Here is a 21,683-nt window from a genome sequence, read left to right as displayed (position 1 = left end):
TAGTAGCCTCACTGTAAACAATCTAGAAAAAAAAAAGATGAAAATAAAAGCCGCCCCATTCCCACCCCAGCTGAGTTACACTGGATGTTGATCCTCTCTGACTTTTTTAGATGCATGAATATTTAGTTACCTAAATCTGGTCTCACCATGTAAGTTGCATATCCCATGCTTTCCCTTAAAGGCTATTGACTGAGGACTTTTGAATCATAAGCAGAACACGCTGGGCATCTCTCTCTGTCTCCCCCCACCAGCCCCCGCACGGTCACACGTGTCAGACGGGTGAGGGCCAGCTGGGCTGCCTGCTCCTGCCACGCGTTTCAGGTTGCTGGAGGAGCTGAAGGACGCAGAGCTGGCACGGGGAGTGAGGCTGGCAATGCTGTCAAGTTGGCTGTGTGTTTGGGTTCTGGGCAGGAAGATGCCCAGTGTCCTGTCACTTTCTCCCAGAAAAGTCCAAAATGCCTTGGTACAGTCTTGGGTCTAGGGGCTGCCCGGACGAGGCCAGACAGGACAGTGCTTACATCCCCATGCCGCCCTGAAAGCCCAGGGTTAAGGCTGTTCTTAGAGCACCAAGGGCACACAAATTTCCCCCGTCTCCCTCAGCGCCACGCTCTAGAACCGAACAACCCTTCCTCGCAAAGGGGAGGCAACTGCCAAACACATTTCCAAGTGGAAAAACTGCTGCAGTCCTTGCCTGTTGCCTGCTGTCAGCACCACCACCAGGAGGCAGCTCAGATCCTGGGCTATGGGGCCTTCAAAACTGCATCCAAGCCCTTCACCTCCAGTCGGGGACCCTTCACCTCCAGCTGGGGACCCTTCATCTCCAGCTGGGGACCCTGAGGCCAGACAGGGGCAATGACTTGTGCAAGGGCAAACAAACAGTCTGTGGCTGCAGCGTCACTCCTATCTTGGCATCACACTGGCATAAAAGAAGTCACAGAAAGGACAGAGAAAAAGGAGTGGCCAGACTCTGGCCTTTGCCAATCTGTGAAATGGGCATGAGAAGGAGAGGGCAAATGGGCGAGATAAACAGAGGTAGAGATGGTGCCACGAGGAGAGGGAGAAAGAGCCCCTGAGAGCGCCTGGCAGTAAGGGGTGAATAGAAGGGGTCCTTGGAACTGGGTAGGGGTTTCCCCTTGGATTTTCCTGAATGTGGAAGCCACTTGGATTCCTGCTCAGTCCCCAGGGGTGAGGGAGGAAGGCAGCCATCTCTGGCCTCCATTCCCAAGGCAGGACTGGGGCTCAGGTTCCATGGGCCCCGGGGAGGCCAGGCCTTGTAGACTCAGAGTCCCAGGAACATCCTGGGGACCTCAGAGGAGTAGTAACTTGCCTCAGATCACACAGCAGTTAGGAGGCCAAGCCAGGACTGGAATGTGGGCATCCTGGCATGCAGGCCATGGTTCCTGTGTTTGCCTCTCTGGTCCCAGTGCTGGGAAAGACCCCGGCCCTGGGTTTGGGTGAGCAGCTGAGTTGTCAGCTGGTGAGATATGGGGAGACAGGTGGCACTGGCCAAAGGGAAGGCCTGTGTGGCTGCACAGATGCACTTCAAGGGAGGCAGATGGTGAGCAAGCACTCACTCCCATTCATTCATTCATTCATTCACTCATTCATCAAACACTTCCTGGGGGCCTCCTCTTGACCATGCCTGTGGTGAGGCTCAGAGAGCAATAACCAAGCTTCAGTTCCACAAGTGGGAAGCTCACAGCAAATTTTCAAGGTTAAGAATCCAGACATCGAGACTTCTTAGACCAGTGCCCAGTCTGCCTCCAGCCTACCCCCATAGCCATGTAATGGTCCCTTTGCCTGCCCACCCACCATCAGTGCAGAAATCACTCCATAGCTCTTTCAGTAGCTGTCTCCTCCTCGGCCAAGGAATCAGCTCACTTTCTCTAGGAAGCAGGCTTTAACTACTTCCAACTTGATGACTATAGGGATTTTTCAATCTCCAGGCTCTTATAATCCCATGCGCTTCTTGAGGTGAAATGCGTTGGTGCTGTCAGTGACTCACAAGACAACCCCTGGGCAGCCACTTCCCTCTGGGCCTCAATTTTCCTTTCTGAGAAATGGGACCACTTTTACTTGCTTTGACTGACAGGGCTGTTGGAAACACCAAAGTCAGAAGTACAAAAATATTTTGCCAGCTGGGCAGCCCTATGCACTAGCTAATTTCTATTACAGGAGTCCCCGTATCTGTGGGGGATACGTTCCAAGACCCCCCGTGGATGCCTGAAAACTTGAATAGTACCAAGCTCTAGACAGATGATTTTTTTTTCGATCTGATAATGGAGACAGCCACTGAGTGACTAAGTGACGGATGGTGTATACAGTGTGGACACCCTGGACAAAGGGATGGTTCACATCCTGGGCAGGATGGAGTGAGACAGTGGGAGATTCCATCATGCTACTCAGAATCACACACAATTTAAAATGTGTGAACTGCTGATTTCTGGAATGTTCTGTTTAATATTTTGGTGTCACAGTTGGCCATGGGTAACTGAAACTGTGGACAGGGAGACCTCGAGTAAGGGGGGAATATTGTACTCCATTCTCAGGAAAAAACAGTGAGTGGACCTTCCAGGCTGCCAGGGTCCCGGCGAGCCCCACACCTCACCTCCACCCCTGCCCCAGCCTCCCAGCTGCTGCCTTGGCCCACTCTGTGATGACACAGAGCTGCAAAAGGCTGATGCAAGCTAGAAGGAGGGAATGAAACAGACTCGTGTGGGGCGGATGGAGTGCCGTCTCCAGCCCCGAGGGACGCCCGTCCCTGCTCCCGCCTGCTTGTTTGCACCTGCTGATGTAATCGCTGGGCCGCCTTGGCTCAGGGCTCGGCCCGCTCCCCATGTCCTCTGAGTGAGCAGCAGAGGAAGGGTGCAAGGGCCAGAGGGCAGGCATCCAGCTGAGGACACCGTGAGAGGGCTCCTCCAGGAGGGGCACCAGGAAGCGGGGAGGGTGAAGGGGAGCAAAAAGCCCAAAACCTGCAGGAGGTTAGCCAAGGAGAAGGCGCTCTGGAGTGCGTGGGACCTGCTTCAATCCCATCCTGCCCCCATTTGCTGGGGGAACCACCCCCTGCCTCTGAGCCTGGTTCCCCTCACAGCTGCAGGATCTCATGAAATGAGCCTGGTACATGTCAGGCACTAAGTTTGTCAGTTCCCTTCTAGGGATTTCTTGAGGAGGGATAAGGAAGTATGAGGTAGGGGTGAAAAAAGAAAGGATAGAAGCACGGCCTAGTGACAGGAAATACCAGAACACTTTTGGGCCACCAGTTCAGTGGGTGACTCTGGGCCCTAGTCTTAGCTCCTGGGACCTCGGTTTGTTTCTCTGTAGAATAGGTGCACCTTCACCGTTCCCACCTCACAGAGATAGCTAGAGGCCAGAGGTGTGAAAGAAAGTGTGGCATCACACTAAGGCATGTGGCCAGCATGGGGGACCTGGGGACAGCCAGCAGTGGGGGTGGGGTGGTGCCTCACCAAGAGCCTGGGGTTCCCAGAGGCTGGGCAGGCCCTTACCAAGCAGTGGAAGCACAGGGAAGGTGGAGCCCGTCCACTGTGCTCGCTGCCCGGCTGGCCCAGAGCCTCTCCTTAGGGAGGAAGAGGAGCGCACGGCTCCCCTGAGGCCTCCAATCACCATTGAAAACACACGGGTGGAGGGGAAGAGAGCAAAGACATGTTCCTGGAAGCTGCCAGGCCACAGCATGCAGCTGAAGCCCCCATGAGCCCAGGGTCTGGGGATCGCCACATCACCAGACCGTCATTCTCAGAGCTGGTTTCCCTGAGAAAGCGGCGGAGAAAAGTTCTTAGTTCACGCGTCTCTTTGGTTGGCATCATAAGCTCAGGGAAGACAGGGAGCCCCTGCTAGACAGGGCAGGCCAGGTGGGGAGGAAATGTCCATCCCAGACACCCCTGATGCCCTCAGCCTGCAAGGGTTACCTCTGTTACCCGGGCCCCCAGTCCCGCCAGGTTGCCCTAGAGGGGAAGCTTCACCCCAGCTGGGATTAAACGGCTTCCCTGGCCACAAAGAACCACCTTTCCCTTTAGTACCTCTTCAGTGCTAGCAGGTAATTCAGGTAATGAGTTAACAGCTACCATTTACAGTGCTAACTAGCTCTCAGGTTCTGCGCCAAGTACTTGGAATAATTATCTAACTGAACCCTCCCCGCAACTCTTTCTGGTAGGTATTCTTATCATTAGCCCCAGTTTGCAGGCACAGGGAGATTAAGTTACTTGTCTAATGTCACAGAGCAGGGTTGTCAGCATTTGAATCTGGGTCTCTTTGACTTTAAGCCCATACTCTTTTTTTTTTTTTTTTTTTTATAGAGACAGGGGTCTCACTATGTTGCCCAGGCTGGTCCCAAACTCCTGGGCTCCAGCAATCCTCCTATTTCGGCTTCCCAAAGTGCTGGGATTACAGGTACGAGCCATGGCGCCCGGCCAAGTCCATCCTCTTTAACCTTGGTGCCAGTGGTACTCAAACCATGGCCTGCACCAGGACCACCTGGAGTGCTCGCTAAAACCCAGGCTCCTGCCCCCAAGTTCTGATTCAGTCGGTGTGGGGTGGGCCTTGAGAATGTACATTTCTAAGAAATGTCTAGGTGCTGCCGCCAGTCCACACACGGCTCTATGCTCTCTTGCCTCCCGACAGAAATATCAAACGCTTAGTGCACATAATGGTGCTTAACATATGTCAGCTTCCTTTTCCTTAACACTTCTATGATTCAGCTGGAGACTTTTCAAAAGGAGCTGAAGGAATTACACAGCAGCATGGTGCCAGGCTTTCGCTATCTGAGCCGGAATCAGGACCTGCTGTGTGGCAATAACAATAAATGATGGCCATCACCTGTGTTCCTGCAAATTCGCCTCTCTGGGCCTCCATTTCCTTCTCTGCAGAATGGGGTAATAGTATTTCTAGCATGGATTAGACATGTTAATACACGCAATGAGCTTAGAGGAGTGCTGGGCATGTTAAAAAGACTTAATGAACAAAAGCGGCATTCTTGTTTTTATTATTACCATTGCTAATACCTATATCTTCTACATTATTTCATTTAATTGTTGCAGCAATCTTATGAGGTTGGTATCAATAGCCATCTCTATTGTTTATCTAAAGTTGTACAAAGTCAGACAGTTACTAAGTGGCAGAGGAAAGATTCTAAGCCAGGTTTGCCACCCCAATGGCAGGAACTATCCACCATTAGCAAATAGGGATGCCCATTCTGACTGCTTCCTCTGGAAAGGATAAAGAGTTATTTTCTTATATTTCCAGCAATTTCTTCTAGTTCAACATTCCCCATTCCCTGCCACCCATTTAGCTCAGAGTACATCAATATCACTGGTGAAGGAAGAATGTCTCAAATGGGGCAACCAGAAGCTGTGTCAGCCACCAATGCTTGGTGACTTTGGGCAGCTAGACTCCCTCCCTGTCTGTCTGTTTGTCCCCTGGTACCTTACTGGGCACCCCTGTGGCTCAAGGACTGGCTTGGTGTTGGCTAGCCCAGCCCCTGGGAGAGGGGATGGTCATTTGCTTCTCCTGAGAAGCCCTGCCCCCAAGTCCTCTGGGATTCCAAGTTCAAAACAATAGAGGCTTCAGGTTGCCCTTGATGTAAAGGTTTAGTAGGTGGCTAATTTTAGCTGAGAAATACTCGGCATTTTCCCAGCCGCTGTCACTGCCGCACTCCGTGTTGGACAAATGGCCTTGGTTTTCCTCTCTGATTGTTCTCGGCTGGGGGCTGGGGGCTGGCTCTATCTAGCTCAGGACAATTCTCTTTGTGTCTGCTTCCGGGTGGCTCTTAATAACTCAGAGAAGGGGATGGGATGTCTGGAGCTCTCAGCTCGAGCTCTCTGGCCCCCTCCCCCGTGCCCTGGCTGCCTTTCAGTCATCAGGGGCATCCCGAAAAGTGGCATTTGAACAGAACTTGCTGGACTCCTCAAAACCTCAGGCTTGGGGAGGGAGGGCTTGTGGCCTGAAGGGGCCTCCCTTTGGACAGATGAGGAAACTGAGGCCCACAGAGGGTGTGACTAGCCTGAGGCCACACAGTTCCTGGCAGAGCTGGGCCTGAGCACCAAGTCTACAGACTTAGTCCAGTGCTCTTTGTATGACATGCAGGAGAAACCCCACTGCCTCCACCCCGGTGTGGGGACACCTCAGAACGTAGGATGCCCAGGCTGCAAGCCTCCATGGAGACACCTGGAATGCTGCCTTCCCACCCCTACCTGGCTAAACCCTGTTCCTTCTCCAGGTATCACCTTAAAGTTCACTTCCCCAGAGAGCCCTGACTGCACCACTCCCACCTAAACCAGGGCCCTGGCTCTTCGTCTGGCATCTCTTTTCCTTATTACCCTCATTACCTTTTCAAGTTATATACTTATTTGTGTATTTCCTTTAATGTCTGTGCCCCCATCGACTGTGTGGTCCCAGGGCAGAGGCTCAGTGACAGCCACACATTTAACCTGCGTGGGCAGCCAACAGTCTGACAGGGTTCTGGGGGAGGGTCCTGGGGCCCTGCTGTGCCAAGTGAGGCCCAGGGGGTTCAGGGGAGTGACTGGGGTGACTAGAGGGTAATCAAGGCTCATGATGGTGGCCATTTGCCATCAATGTGGACTTCTTCAGATATTTCCAGCAGCAAGATGGCTTTAATGTGCTTTCTCCTTGAACATCATTTCTGGCTGGATGGCACCTGTTTACCCACTGCTGTAACCCAGTGCCAGCCTGGCACACAGTAGATGCTTAATAAATCCTTCGTGCATGAATGAATGAGTCTCCCGGGCGGGCTCCTCTGGGTCCTGTTCTCCCCAAGGAAGTGGCCTGGATTCGATCTATGCCCCATCCCTCCCAACGATGACTCTGAAAGCAAGACAAATGAGGAGCCCAGGACAGCCCCCCCACAATCCTGGCCCTGCCCCATCCCCCCAGCCAGCTCAGAGTCTCTCTCTGCCTACACAGGCCTCCACTGTGGTCTCCCTCCCCCAACCCACTCCAGCCCGGACCCAGTATGCTATAATTAGAGTCCTCCTTCCAGGCTCCGGTAATGAGGGGGTGTCGGGTGCCAGCCGTAATTACAGCCTGGTTAGAACGAACAGGAGCCACCTCCAAGCCAAATTACAAAGTCTGCAGCCAGACTCCCTCCTGCCCCACTCCCTTTTTATGGGGCTGGTTAAAGGAAGGGACCAGGAGTTTATGGAGAAGCCAGCTCAGGCTGGGGCTGCGGTCTCGGGAGAGTTGAGAGCGAACAGTCTGGGCCTGTGTTGCTTTGAAACTATCTTCCCACCTCCCCCCTACCCCATCCCACCCCCGTCCAAATTCCCATCCAAAGCCAAGGTCAGAATAGGCAAAGAAGTCAACTGAGGCCTCTCTTGTAACCCTTCCCGTCAGAGCCCCCATCTAAGGGCTGGGTGTTCTGTGCCAGGCCTGGGGTCACAGGCTTTATGTAGTTGTATTCAATGGGCACAGCAACCCTGTGGACAGGTACCATTACCCCTATTTTACTAACCAAGGTTCAGTGCTTAAAATAACTTGCCCCCAGTCACACAGCCAGTAAGAGGCAGATGCAGGGCTCCAGCCAGGCCTGCACAGGGCAAGACTCTAGAGTGTAGGTACACTCCATCTTGCACTCCTCACTGCACTGGGCACAAGGAGGGGCACAAGGAAGGACTCGGTTAATACTAAGAATGATGTGTTTTGCAGGTTGAGGCAGGTGAGAGGTCCAGCTGAGTCCTTCTCTCCCTTTGAAAGATGAAGAAATTGAGGCTCAGATTTCCACTGACGTCTCAGGGAAGGATGTCCTTTGGGGAAGTCAGGGCCAGCATTTGGGAGGTCTTTTGCATGCCAGCCTGGGCTTTGTCAGCCTCAGAATCTCAGGATATTAGAGTGTGCAAGGGCTATAGAGTCAATCTAGTCTAGGGGCAAATGCACGGCCACCTGGCCAATCCTGAGGCTGTGGCAAGCATCACTAATAAATTGTGGCACATCTGGACAAGGCCTCCTTCTCAGCACAGGACTATACTCAGCCACAACCAATCAAGTGATGAAGATATTCCACCCCCTCCCCATCTCATTAATCCCTATTCACCCTCACTCAACCCAAGGGAAAAACAGGGTCCAGAGAGTTGGGGTGACTTGCCTAAAGAACTGAGGGGCCCTTATTCCATAATGACAGCCTCTAGGTACTGCCAGCTTGCCACCCTCGGTGCAGCCCTGTCAATTATGGGCTTCCCAAATGGAAAGATTGGGACTCAAGGTCCCATCCTCTCCCCATTCCCACGCTGGCCCCTAATAGTGAACCAGCCGGCTGCTCTGCTGCCCTCACCAGAAGGTGGCTTTCGTAAGGGCTGCGGGGGAGCAGTCTTGCTCAGCAGCGGAGGTGTCCCAGCGCAACAGCAGCAACCTCTCCGCAGGGCTCCCAGCTGCCTGCCCGCCCCTTCCTGGGCCTCTTGGCTGGGCTTTCCTCCCAGCCTGAAAACCTGGCTCCAGCCACCCACTGCCCACTCATCACAATTGGCCTGCAGTGACTCAGTCTCCTTGCTACCTCCTCCTCCCGTCTTCTGGCCCTGGCGTCCCCCAGCTCTTAGGAGCCTCTTCAATAGTGCCTTTGATCCTGGCTGCCGAGGCTCTTTAATGAGGACGGCCTGCTGCCTTCAGCAATGGGATGGCAGAGAACAGCTTCTGGGAGCACAGTGACGATAACAGGGTGAACATAGCCCTGATGCCCCCCAGCCTCCCCCAGATGACCAAGGGCCCTGAGCCCAGAGGCCCTGCAGGGAAGACAGGAAAGCTGCTGAGATTTTTTGGGAGGTGCCTGCCTCACCCAGCAGCACTGGGCCTGGACCGGAGGGCATTTTCATAAGGGCACTTTAATTAGGAAACAAGGCAGCTAGCCAGCGGGACTATGGGCCACACCCGGTGCCATTAGAGGCCTCCGTGCTCCCGGGCCCAGCCCGCCTCTCTCGCCTCCACCCACTCCACCTCCTCCCTAGGGTTGTGGGGAAAGGCGGTCCCCGAGCACCCCTGCTTGCCTCCCCTATCCTGAGGCCCCTGGCAAGGAATGGAATGCCGGATTTCTCAGGTGTGGTTTCTCAAGCTGAGTTTTGGATCTCAGGCTGGAGACAGCTGGCAAAAGCAGAGAAGCCACCCCCTTGGGCAGTGGCCAGAGCGGTGGCCACCCCCATGCTGGGCCACAGGAAGGAGAGGGCATCAGTGCCTCTGCTCCTGATGCTTCATGCCCCCCCTACCTCTCTCCACCAGGAGCTACCATGATGAAGCTCCTGCCTGGCAGTTGGCTTGTTTGTCCCCTAGAGGCTCCAGCTTAAACCCAAACTGTGCTGTTCCAGGCACTGTCCCCAGCAGGCAGTGTTCCCACAGCCACGATGGGCAGACTCCGAGCTGCCCCTATCCAGTCCCCTGGGCTATCTACCCCAAACTCAGGAGGTGGGCAGAATACACCCTTGAGACCCTCAGCAAGTTGGGCAGGGACCCACGCCCACTGACCTGGCTGAGCCTGGCTATGGCTGAGCTACCGAACTCCACACTCCCTCCCTGTGGGGCCTGGGCAAGTCACGGGTCTATATTTCCTCCTCTATAAAATGGGACAATCCACAGGAATCTCCCAGGGCTGTCGTTATGGTAAACAGAGTCATGTATGTGAATGTATCAAGCACAGGGCCTGACTGCAGCGTTCAGTAAACTCACGCTGACCTTGTGTAGGCTGAAGTCCTCCCCACAGTCTAACTGGCTGTGTGACTGGGCTAGCCACTTTGCCTCTCTGAGCCTCGGTTTCTTAGTCTTTGAATGGGTGAACAGAACACATTCTCTTATAGATGCAGAAGTGCTTCATAAACTATGAAGGGCTGCCCAAGTCCAAGATTAGTCATTATTATTTTTCTCTTTTCCTTTTTTTTTTTTTTTTGAGATGGAGTCTCGCTATATCACCCAGGCTATAGGGCAGTGGCATATCGGCTCACTACAACCTCTGCCTCCCGGGTTCAAATGATTCTCCTGCCTCAGCCTCCTGAGTAGCTGGAATTACAGGCACACACCACCACACCTGGCTAGTTTTTGTATTTTCAGTAGAGAAGGGTTTTGCCATGTTGGCCAGGCTGGTCTTGAACTCCTGACCTCAGGCAATCCTATTGCATTGGCCTCCCAAAGTGCTGGGATTATAGGTGTGAGCCACTGCACCCGGCCCAGTCATTACTTTTCTAATGAATGGCCATACTTCACCTCCCTCCACCCTGCCCATGAGGAAAGGCTGGGCCATTCTATCCCAGTTCACCCGATGGGACCCTGGTGACATTGGGCTCACGTGGCCTCACACGGGCTGCCTGCCCTGAGGCTCAGCTCTTCCCTGTTGCCTGTCAGCTGCCTCCTGGACAGGGCAGTACCTGGCTGGCCACTGGGCGGGGAGGACAAGAGGGGATTGGGATGCTCAGTTCTTCAGCAGGAGGGTCTTTACCCATCTGGCAGCTCCTCTGCTGGGTTGGGAATCAACTCCTCGGGAAAAGGCAATGTTGGGGCAGGGTGGGGACCTTGGTGACTCTGGAGGCAAGTGGGTGCCAGCTTGGCCAAGCTCACCCTTGGCTCCTCCTGTCCTTTCTCTGAAGAGCTCCAGCAGGGCTGCTTGGGATGTCGCTAGCTGTGTGACCTTGGACAAGTCCCTTCCCCTCTCTGGACCTTCCTCCTCTGAAAGGACGCTGCCCAAGACCACGGCTTGTCCTGCTGCTCTCAGGTGCTCTGGAGTGGAGGTTCCAGAAGAAGCATAGAGAGCTGGCCACACAGCTCAGGAAGGGGCCAGGCTTCCTGGAGGAGCTACAGGGCTGGGCTTGGAGGAGGAATGGGTGGTCTTGGGACCCTCAAGAAACAAAAATGGCTGAGACCACCAGGTCTTCAGCCCAGAGTCTCCCAATTTGTGAGCCCTCTCTTTCTGTCCTGGACTTGGCCAGCAGGTGGGCAGAGACAAGCCTGAGGCAATACAGATTCCTGTATCCTAGGAGGGGAGTGGGGGGCCCTGCATCTGCCCTGCCCTGGCCCAGACTGAGGGCACCCCATGTGGCACTAGAGAGTGAGGGAACCTTACTCAGTGGAAAGAGCCCAACATCCGCAGGATAGAGTCTCGGCATCGATAGCTGTGGGGCCTTCAGGCAGGTGATTTTGTCTCCCTGGCCTTGGTTTCTCCGCCTGTAAAATGGGCTAACAGTCCCTAGCCTAGAGGATAAGTAATGCCTTAGCTCCTGTGCACCTGGCATCAGGTGAACTCTCAAAAACAGTTCCCAGTGAAAGCACGTGTTTCTTGGGCATGGCACTTCAAGCCTCTGGCCTCTGTTTCCCCACCTCTAAAGAGGGTATCAGAACATTGCCTACCTCCAGGAGCTCACATATATCAAACGGCTTTAGCACAGGCAGGTGCCTATGCACAGCACGGATTCTAGGTGTTTGTGGAAGCCACTGAGCCAGATGACCTGAAAGAGTTCCCTGCACACCTGGCCACAGCCTGCAGTGATTCCAGGGAGGGGACAGAGGTTCCTCTTTGCCCTACAACAGGCGCGGTTGTTTCCTCACTCCTTGTCAGGCCCCAGAGGGCTGCTGGGCCCCAAGCCATGGAAAACATCTTCCAAACCCACACAGCACCTCCAAGGAGCACCTGGCATGTACATCTCTCCACGGTGAGAATTCAGTCCAGGCTGGTGCAGCTCACCACCGAGGCGCTCCTCGAAGATGCTGTGTGGGCTTGGCATGCAGGAGGAAGCTCACCACCCAGTCAGGGATATGCCTTCTTGCCAGGGGCTGGGAGGGGAGCCCATTTCACAGATGGGATACACTGAGGCACTAGCAACCTATGTGACTCGCCTGGGTGGGCCTGGAGGGGGAAGGGGGCAAGAGAGGTGCCAGGGGTCCTGAGACATCTGAACTGAGGTGGGCGTCTCTTCTTCCCTTCGGCTTTCTCTCAACCTGAACTTCCCTATTCACTTACCTCCCACTTACCCTTTGAGGTAGGCATAACGGTCCCATTTAAGAAGACACAGAGAGAGGCTCAGGAGAGCTGAGTGGTGGGCCATGCTGGCTGGAGGACATCAGTGGAAAGGAGCTAGGTGGGATCCGGGGGTGCTCACCCCTCAGGGCCCAGCAGAGCCCCAGGAAGCACCTGCTGGCTCACAGAGGGAACCCAGTGGGGCTGTGGGTTTCCAGGTCCCCCTTAACCCTCCCTTACCAGGAGGGTCGATGCCAGCTGCTGCACCCCTTCCTCTGGGCCCCGCTGTTGGGGCTGTCCCAGCCTCCTCCTTAGCATCCTCTTTAATCCCTGACCATGACTGTCGTCTTCCTGCACCTTCCCTGCTCTGTGCTCACCCTCCTGCCCACCCTGCCCAAGGTCTTCCTCTCCACTCCACACCGGCTGCCGTGTTCTTGTGACATCCCAGGGTTCTTGTCTCAGCTCAGTAACTAACATGCTGTGTGACCCTGGACAAGTCCCTGACCCTTTCTGGGCCCCTGCTTCCCCATCTATCATTGAGGGGGTTAGGTGAGAAGCTTGGATGTTCTAAGAATATCAAAACCCACACACCAAATGCACGGGCAGGTGTGCTGCTAGGCCTCTGGGGCCTTGGGCTCCTGGCCCACCTCTTGGCTCCCTTCTGGGGGCCCTGGAGAAGCCAGTCTGGGGACTGGGCTGCCAGGAAGTGCCACCCTCTGCACGCCCGAGTCCCCACCTGGGCTCCATCTGCTCTCAGAGCCTTCAGCGCCTCTGCCTCTGGCCTCTGCCCAAGTCCCCTCTGTTCCCGAACCTATCCTTGCCCTGAGGCAATGGTGGTTGCCCCTGTCACTGGAGCCAGCTCCTGGCAGAATTATCTCCCTCCATTCGAGCTTCCATTAGTCCATAAGTACACTGGGCCCAGGCAGGGCACTGGGGAGACGCGGCAGCCATAAATCACCATGGCTCTCCTGAGCCCAGCTGCCAATGGCCTGAGAGCTCTGCTGGCTCAGCGGAGGGAGGCTCCCTTCCTGGAGGAGCTGGGGCCAGGGCTGGGAGTGGCTGTGTGAGTGGCAGCAGCATAGGGGTGTGGCGGGTACTCGTCCACTCACCTGTTCACCTCTGGGGTATGACATTGTGACAGCAGTGCCACAGCTCCATGTGCAATGTCACCTGGAGATCTTCCAAAGAAGGGGCTATGGTAGGGACCTTGACAAGTCATTGCAACTCAGAGCTTACAGATAAGTTTCCTTATCTGTAAAATGGGTGCTCATACCAATCTCACAGGGTTCACAGAAGGATCACTGAGAACATGCCCCCGCCCAACCGAACAAATGTCCAGCACGGAGCCTGCCAGGGCGTATGACTCAATACATAGTCGATTTCCTCCCCACCGTGGGGGCTCAGAGCAGGCAGTGGCAGCTGCTTGCCTATGTTTAAAGCCACAGCTTTTACACTATGCTCTTGCCTTTTGTTGTTGGACAGAGACAGCCCTTTGGCTTCGGATGCAAGCTGCTGGAGGCCAGACAAATCTCAGCAGAGCTTGCAGAAGTCCAGAGCCACTGTTTGGAAAGGGTGAGAATTCAGTCCGGGCTGGTGGAGTGCTTTTGGCTTCCTCTGTGAATGAAGTTTGGTTGAGAAAATTAAATGAGATCACAGGGGTGATATTAAAAGAGCAAATTACTTTAAAGGGCTTCCGCTCATTCCAGATCTGACTGGGGATGGATGGCGCTAATTACGAACAAGGAGTGGCCTCTTAGTAAAGCCTGTCCCTAAAGCCCGGGGGTGTTTCTAAGTTAGGGACCCTGGAAGTGAGAGCCCCAAGCTCCTTTTGTGTCAATTCACATTCCCTCCCCCCATAATCAGTGACAGCCGGTGACATTTGGAAGTCTGGGCTGTCTAGGAAATACTTCTTACCACCCTGTGGGCCCATGAACAACTGCTGGGACTTCGGAGAATGACAACTTGGTGACGACACTTGCATCAAATCCACAAAGCAATCTAGCAGCGTGTATGAATGAGGGCGTGTCTTTTTACCTAGAATTCTACTTTTGGGAATCTCTCCCAAGGAACCCAACCAAGCTGTGAGCATGGAGATGTTCAACGCAGTGTTATTTACCAGAGTAAGATACCCAACAAAGGGAGAACTGCTTGAGTAAATTAAAGTATATCCCCACTGTGGGTTCTTCTCGGGTATTAATGGCTAATTATGAAGTCTATGTAATTATACGAGAAAGATTCATGGAATAATGTTAAGTGTAGAGGCCTGAGCATGAAATGAAACCTGTAAGTATGTGATGACATCATAAAACAAACCTGGGCATGAGCCTGAAAGGAAACACACGAATATGCAAGTAGTAGTTGTGTCTGGGTGGGATTAAGGGTGATTATTTTTCAGAACTTAGTTCCCACCATTTGGGGAAATATGGCAACATTATCTGGACTGTAGAAACAAACAAACAAGCCACTTCCTGGACCCAGAAATAGTGGAGAAAGGGTCAGTGCCTGGTGTTGTTTCTAAGGGCGCCAGGCTGCTGTTCTGGAAGCAGGACCAATGGTGGAGGCTCACCACGTGCACAGCTGGAACCTATGGGGGCCTGGGTGGTGGTCATCCACCCTGCTCAGTGCACCTGTTGCCACAGGAAGGCCTCTCTGGGGATGTCCCATTGTTCTCCAGCCAGGAGGAAGGTGGGAGGCGGGAGAATGGCTGGTTTTAAAGCCAGGAAATAAATCTCCCTCCCCCCAACCCAGCCTCTCCATTCAGGCCAGCTTATTGATGGGGACCCAGGGGGCCTGGAGACAGTAAGCCGACTTCCCAGGACTCGTGAGAAAACCTCCCCAAGCCAGGCCCACACTGTCGTGTGGACTCTAGGGGCCTATCCAGAGGCTTCCTCTGGCCATTTCCTGGCATTGTCAGCCCTATGCCCCCCACGACAGCAGGACGCCAGGTACCCATGGTCCCAGAGCCATTTGTGCTCCTCCTGATCACCACAGAAGGTTGGGGCCCAGGCCCTGAGTCAGATAGTGGGTAAAACAATTACCACGAGCCCTTTCAGAACTGATAGTCTTGTGACGGGAGAAGACTCCCGCCAGCCCCAGTAGGGCACAAAACCCCCTCTGCTAGGCGTAGGTAGGAAGCCACAGACATTTGCATATAATTTACATTACTTTGCATAACCACCTGCTATAGGGGAAAGAGCATTGAACCAAGAGTCAGACTTCGGAGTCCAGTCCCAACAATACTGCTGACTTGATGTGACGTTGAGCTCATTTTTGTCCTCTCTACTAGGCATCCGTTTCCCCCTGTGCTGAGTTGGGAAACTGGACTGCTGGTTGGCGAGCGTGGACCTGGCTAAAGGTTGATGGAGTTGACATGATATAGTGAGCAGGAAGGACACGCCTGGAACCAGAAGGGGGTCCCTGGGACCCTCCACCTTGCAGCGATCCCCATCTTAACAAATGCTCCCTGAACACCTCCTGGGAGACATGCGTGAACCAGCTTTCCTAGTGTCCTGCGGACCCCTGCTCCCCTACTGACCAGGGGTACAGTGTCCACCTCTCACTCCCAGGCTATGGGGATCTCTGGGGAGGAGGACCCTCACACCCCCACCCAACTCTCCTGCCCCTCCTCCCCTTGGCAGCCCTGGCGATGCCAACAGCTTCTGACACCCTGGAAATGCTTTCAGCCAGGAACCAGGGAGCTTGGCAGGGGAGAGGGAGACAAAGCCCCAGCTTGCCCTGGGACTGAGTGGACTTAGCACACAGACATACACCCCACCCCCACTGTGGTCAGAACCAAAACAATGCTGGGGAGCAGTGACATCAGATGCGCCTGGCCTTCCCTGCCAGCCTGCCCACCTGCTACAGGTATTTCCAGGGCAATGGACGAGGAGAAGGTGGAAAGAAAGCCTCATTCCCAGGAAGCTGCACTGCTGCTGCTCCTCCTTGGGCATGGTGTCGGGGGAAGGGAAGGACACCCAAACTCGGGTACTGTCTACTCCTGGGCCTGGGCCTTGCAGTAGGGTGGCCAGCATCACTAAGACCAAGCTACGGGGAAAGGAGGTGGTGGCCCCCTTTAATGGCAGGGCTGTGGCACTTCTGATACTCAGTGCTGGGGAGGGTTGGGCCTTTGGGGTTCCCCCGAGGTTGGAGTCTGCAGCAAGGAAGTGTGAGAAGCAGAGGGTGCAGACCCAGAGTCCACAGGTGAGGAGGTGAAGTGTGGAAATGAGGGGAGGATTTTAGAGGTCTGAGCTGCAAGGAAGCAAAGAGCTAAGAGGGATGGAGGGAAATGCCTGGGGTCCTGAGAAATGACCAATGTCCTGGACACAGGTCCTGGGGCTTGTGCTCTGTCTCTCTTCTCTCCTCCTGTCCCTTGAGCTCTCTAAGAAAACCCCCTCTTCTCTGTCCTAACCCTCAAGCCTCACCTCCCCATCCACCGTCTACTCTCCTGGGGAGACCCGAACAGACTGCCAGGCTGAGTCAGGTCCTGGGGGTCTCTGGGGCTCCTGCTGTCACTCCCTGCCCGCTCTCTGGAATGGACTTCACTGCTACCAATGCCTTCCCTCTCCTTGCAGGTGCCGTCTCACAAGGCAGGTCTCTGTGAAGGGGTCTGGCCTTGGGCAAATCACTTCACCTCTCTGAGTCTGTTTCCTTCACAATAAGATGGGAGAAATGATGCCTACCTCATAGGGTTAGGGTTGCTCTGAAGAATAAATGAGGCAATGCATTCAACAAGCTCGCGCAGTGCCTGGCACATAATAAAAGCTGAAAAACTGCTAGTGGTTGTCATTATTAGCAATCTCTCCAAGCCCAGGTTTCTTTCCTCTTTTGTACAATGCAATACCAGTCCCGCCTTCACAGGGTAATTGTGAGATGAGAGGAATGAGAGATTTGAAAGCGCTCTCACAGAAGCAGGCAGTGAGGTGGAGGGCGTGGCTGCTATTAACTGCAGGGCTCTGGGACTCATGGCAGGACACTTGGTAGGCAGCAGGTCAAACTCTATCCTGCTCAATGCAGAGACACAAAAGGGAGCCACCCTCACAGCCTGGTGCTCTATCACGCTTCCTGCTGCTCAGGCCCAAAGTTAGCCCATTTGATAGATGGCAAAACAGGCCCAGAGAGGGCAAGAGATCAGCCTAGAGTCACTGTGAATGATCAACTATATAGGGACTAGACCTGGAAAAATAAAATTCAAGATTCAGATACCACTGAAGAGCATGTTAACTGTCCCTTCACCCATTTTTAAAGCACAGGCATTTGGGAAAATATTGTAATATATATATGTGACACTTATTTTTAACCCAGATTTCAAATCACTTTTTTGTTGGAGGAGGTGAAGGGGAACATTACACAGCACTTCATTTACTTACAAAGATGTCACACCTGGTACACTTAAAGAGGCAAAGTCCTAGAAAAGCAAGGTCAATTTGAGAGGAAATAAAATCAATGACTTGAGGTATACATCTCCAGCCTGTGGGTTTTTTTCCTGGGGGAAAACAACTTAAAGAAAAATAAATATCCTCAATTCTTCCCTGTGTGTGCTTCAGCCTGTGGCACTGAGACTCTCACAGGAGAGGAATTATCTTGGTTCATTCATTCCCCTATGTGGCAAGGGTTTCAGATATGGACCGAGAAGACCCCTTCTGGGTCTTTGCAGGAACCATGTATACTCTGCAACTTTAATCACTTTGTCTGCAGGCATGAGCGAAACGATCTCCAGAGACAGCCAGCATTTAAAAGCAAATTTATTAAAGTAGACACCACCTTCCTGACACAATGGCACATGATGGATTCTTATTTCCCATTGTGGAGCAAATGGAAAATCGCTCTTGCAGATGGGGAGATAAACTGTGCTCTGGGGCCTGCAAGTCTGAAGTCCAGGGTGGCTGCCAGAAGAAAATCCAATTTGCCTTTAAATGCCATGTACAGCGTTTCTATTGTACCTACCACCTACTATATCAAAAGGTGAAAGTTTAAAAGTTTAAAAACCGCATGAAGACATACAAAGACTACAGCTGTAGGAACCAGTCTCAGAAAGACACATCATCAGTTTGTCTATCCAGGCTTTGAAGATTCTACCTTCCTTACCCTGACCTCTGACAGGGAAACTCCTTTGGAAGGAGTGAGGATTCTCTAACCATCCAAGCAAGCAGCGGGGTAACCTCTGACAGATTACCCACTCTGAGTCCTAGTTTCCATATCAATATATTTGGAAGACTGAAATAAAACAGGGATAGCAATACCTTGGTACAACTACTACCATGGCTGAGCCCATGACAGACATCACTAATTGACCCAACTGAGCCAGATCTGAGTCTCTGAATCAGCACATCTCCTGAAAGTCATCACTGTTTGTTCAGGATTGGTAGCAAGAGGAGACCTACTTGCCATCCCTGAACTCAGTGATCTCTAGAATTCCTTCCACCTCTAGCATGCTGTAAGTATTCCCCTCTTCAGTGTCTACTATGTATCTAGATCTATATTAGAATCTGTAGGAGACAGAAGTATACTCCCATAGATTATAAATTAGAAAAGTTATAATCTCTACCCCAAAGTGCTGGGAGCTAGGAGGGGGATAACCCTTCAGGAAACCACTGCAGCGCAGCAACAATACTTTAGAATTTAGCCCTGGATCTGTTTTGGCATGTGCCCAGCCTGAGAGCCACCACCTCCCCATCCCACACCACAGCAGACATCACTAATTAATGCTGACTTCTGTAAATGAGTCCAGATGTGGCCCTAGATTTCTCAACACTACACCCTGGGAAGTCACCCTCAAACTTTCAAAACAGCCACCTGAGATAAACCGTTTGCCACTGCTGCCCTAGATTTTGAGGTACAGGCTATACAGGTCTGGGGAGGTTGGAGCTATCAGGAAAAGATTCCTCGGAAAGTCAGGAATTAAGCTGGGACTTGAGGAAGCATCCACACACCCAAGCCAGGCCAGACAGATGAAGAAGAGAGGCCAAGGCTGGGAGAGGGGCAATGATGGGGACTTCCAGAAGGGGCCTAGCTCATGCAACCCGGTAGGAAGTATCCCATTTGGACCCAGCAGAACGGCCGGAGGCTCGGGGTCATCCCTAGGGCCGGGGGGAAAGGAGTTCTGATGTCTCCCCCACCGGCACTGCCCCTTCATTCAAGGCATCCTGGGGAGCAGGGCCTGGGGCACCACCTGGTAAGAGGCCTTCAGCAGGCAGGTGGCTCAGGCCCAGCGGGGTTTGCCATGGGCTCCCAGCACCTCTGCCCTGCTCAAGAGTGGTGAGATGCCTGGTGTCATGGCAGTCTCCTGAAGAGGCACAGAGATGGGCACCTGTGGCCACACACTTTCCACTTAGCTCCTCTGGGCTGTTCTCCTGAGCCTAAACATATGCTTGGGGAGAGGAACCACGTCCCCACCCCATCCCAACCAGAACCACAGCCTGAGCACTGGAGTGGGAAGAGGGAAATCTGGGCTCCAAAAGCCCTCATGGCACTGGGATACGTGGCCAGTGCCCCTAAGAGGGACCTTTCCAGAAGATTCTCTAAGTAACCTATCTGTTCCATGCCCTAACCTCCTGCAGCCTTGGTTTTTCCTTCTGTATAATGGACTACCCCACCAATCAGATATCTGCACTGCCCACTGCATTACCTGCCTTCTACCTGCTCTGTGCTTTGTGGCTGTGGGAGAGAGATGAGGGTGGTAGGAGGAGCCAGGGACCATGCCAGGGGACTCTCCTGGAGTTAGAAATGACAGCTGGAAAGCCACATTCTCAGAGATGGCTCTGGATCCCAAGGGCCTCACCTGTATAGCATGGTCTCGGCACAGAGGTGCAAGGTGCGTTCCACAGAACCAGGGGCCCAACCCAGCTTAACAAGCTTGGAATATACACTCACACATAGGGTTATCACTCTCTGTCACTTTTGTCCCCACCCCCTGGGGAGCCCTCAATCCTTGCAAGCTGGTGCTGGGGCAGCTGGGCCAAGTTTTGAGGGGCAGCCAGGAATTGGCAATCCCAAATGGGGTCCCTTTGGCAGCCTAGCTATGTCAGGGCAATAGCTTAGGCCATGCCAGGTTACTGGTGCCCAGGCTGCAGGCTCTGGAGGGGAGCATGCCTGAGAAGCCCAGGAGGACTTTGTAGCTGGTGCCAGCCCACAGCATGTGAGCACACTGGAGCTGTGGCCGTGGTCACGTTCTCATGAGTGCGTTCAACCCTGGGGTGAGGTGCCTGTGTAGGGCTGTGCAAAAAGGGACTGAAAGCTTGGACACAGAATGGGACATCTGAATGTCATGCTGGGGCCCAGTAGCCTCTTTGCCAGAGGGAGCTATGTTTGGGATCACCTGGCCAACAGATGCAAATACAAGCATATGTGTACATACTGCCCACAGGAAGGAGTGGGGTGCAGGTGGGAGTGGAGATGGCTGGTCTGACATGGTGTGTGTTTTACATCTATGAGTGTGTGTGTGTGTGTGTGTGTGTGTGTGTGAGAGAGAGAGAGAGAGAGACAGAGAGAGGGAGGAGCCTGTACCCACTGCTTCAGTGTGCCTGCCTGTAAGTGGGTGCATGTCAATGTTCTCTATGAGTTCAGGCATCCTCTGCTGTGTACCCCTGAGCATGTACACAGGTCTGTGTAAAAGTGCATGCCTAGGAGCCACTTTGAAAACAAAGACCTTGGGCTGCAAAGAAAAATGATGAGATTCTTAAGAACGGTGAGTGCAGCAGATATTAGCCGGTCTACTGGGGGTTGTTACACTAACCGTGTGTCCATTCTGCCTAATACATAAATTACTAATGTAAATTAAAGGATAATTGAAGCCCTTTAGGCCCAAATATTTAAATTATTCAACAGGCTGTCAGGAATAGGAGAAAAAGGAAGAGCTGAGTTTAACACTCAAAGAGAAAAGTGCCAACTCAGGGGAAGAAGGGGAAAGTGGGCCCCCCTTCTCCCTGCCTCCCGCTAGCTCATTCTGCTCTGGAGGTGCGGGGGGCTTTTCTCCAGGGCGCTGTGTGTATTGCCTCCCTCCTGGCCGTATAGGCTCCCAGGGCGTCCCTGCTTGGGAAAGTGCTGCCAAGGCCAGAGGCAAGGCTGCCTACCTGAGAGGTGGAAGCAAGTGGGGGGAGCTCAACTCCTCTTCTGCTCCTCAGAGACAGGACCCAGGGAGGCCCCAAGACTGCTATCAAAGAGCTGAGAGCTGGTACCAGGGACCTGGGTGCTTGGATGGTTCCCAGGGTGAAACCAGTATCTCCTTCCCTGAGATACCACAAGCCTGGAAAGGCAGTGCTAGAAGTCAGAGGCTTTGGCAAAGGGGAGAGAGAAGGGGGCAATTGAGTCCACTCCTACCCATTATACAGAGTAGGAAAGTAAAGGCCACATAGGAGGAGGTGAATCAGCAGCTTGCCAAAGGCAGATGCGGCATTCCCATCCTTTCTCCTTTTCCCTGAGGCCTTGAGAGGGTTTTCCAGGTCTCAAGGACACAAGTAAGACCCCCAAATCACTAGGGAGCCTTACTTCACTTGGGTCCTACATCCCAGGGCAAAGCAAAAAAGGAAGCATGTCTTCCCTTAGCCCCCGGTCTGATTTCTATAGAACTCACTGCCTGGTTTCTCTTTGTTCTATGGCACAGAACTCCCAACCATGCAAAGGTCCCAGTGTGGGTGCTGTGGCTCGCTCACATCCATGCTGGGGCCTGGGGACTGGGGGTGTACAGCTGAGGAAGGCCCAGACTCAGACTCCTGAAACAGTCCAACTCAGCTGGGGC

The 21,683-nt window shown here is 53.4% G+C and overlaps 1 protein-coding gene and 1 long non-coding RNA gene across 4 annotated transcripts in view, besides 3 other annotated features; both read right to left on the bottom strand.

The window, feature by feature from the left end:
• UNC5B (unc-5 netrin receptor B) overlaps positions 1–21,683 on the bottom strand; it is a 90,295-nt gene that overhangs the window by 33,587 nt on the left and 35,025 nt on the right. The gene's annotated exons all lie outside the window — the stretch shown is intronic.
• Positions 1,439–2,160: an enhancer, noted in NCBI's record as "H3K27ac hESC enhancer chr10:73026875-73027596 (GRCh37/hg19 assembly coordinates)". NCBI's record gives its function as "activates a minimal SCP1, AML or CMV promoter by ChIP-STARR-seq in primed H9 embryonic stem cells {active_cell/tissue: H9 hESC(primed)}" and the evidence as "EXISTENCE:reporter gene assay evidence [ECO:0000049][PMID:30033119]".
• Positions 2,352–3,345: an enhancer, noted in NCBI's record as "H3K27ac-H3K4me1 hESC enhancer chr10:73025690-73026683 (GRCh37/hg19 assembly coordinates)". NCBI's record gives its function as "activates a minimal SCP1, AML or CMV promoter by ChIP-STARR-seq in primed H9 embryonic stem cells {active_cell/tissue: H9 hESC(primed)}" and the evidence as "EXISTENCE:reporter gene assay evidence [ECO:0000049][PMID:30033119]".
• Positions 8,729–9,581: an enhancer, noted in NCBI's record as "H3K4me1 hESC enhancer chr10:73019454-73020306 (GRCh37/hg19 assembly coordinates)". NCBI's record gives its function as "activates a minimal SCP1, AML or CMV promoter by ChIP-STARR-seq in naive H9 embryonic stem cells {active_cell/tissue: H9 hESC(naive)}" and the evidence as "EXISTENCE:reporter gene assay evidence [ECO:0000049][PMID:30033119]".
• LOC112268061 (uncharacterized) overlaps positions 9,869–21,683 on the bottom strand; it is a 39,802-nt gene continuing 27,987 nt past the window's right edge. For both annotated transcript variants that reach the window (XR_002957082.2, XR_002957083.2), the window contains exon 2: positions 9,869–21,191. This is a non-coding gene — a long non-coding RNA (uncharacterized LOC112268061). The remainder of the gene's footprint in view (positions 21,192–21,683) is intronic.

Source organism: Homo sapiens, chromosome 10, assembly GCF_000001405.40.
Source record: "Homo sapiens chromosome 10, GRCh38.p14 Primary Assembly".
Classification (NCBI taxonomy): domain Eukaryota; kingdom Metazoa; phylum Chordata; class Mammalia; order Primates; family Hominidae; genus Homo; species Homo sapiens.
The sequence above is the reverse complement of the archived record's forward strand: the minus strand, read 5'-3'. Positions and strand labels throughout refer to the sequence as shown.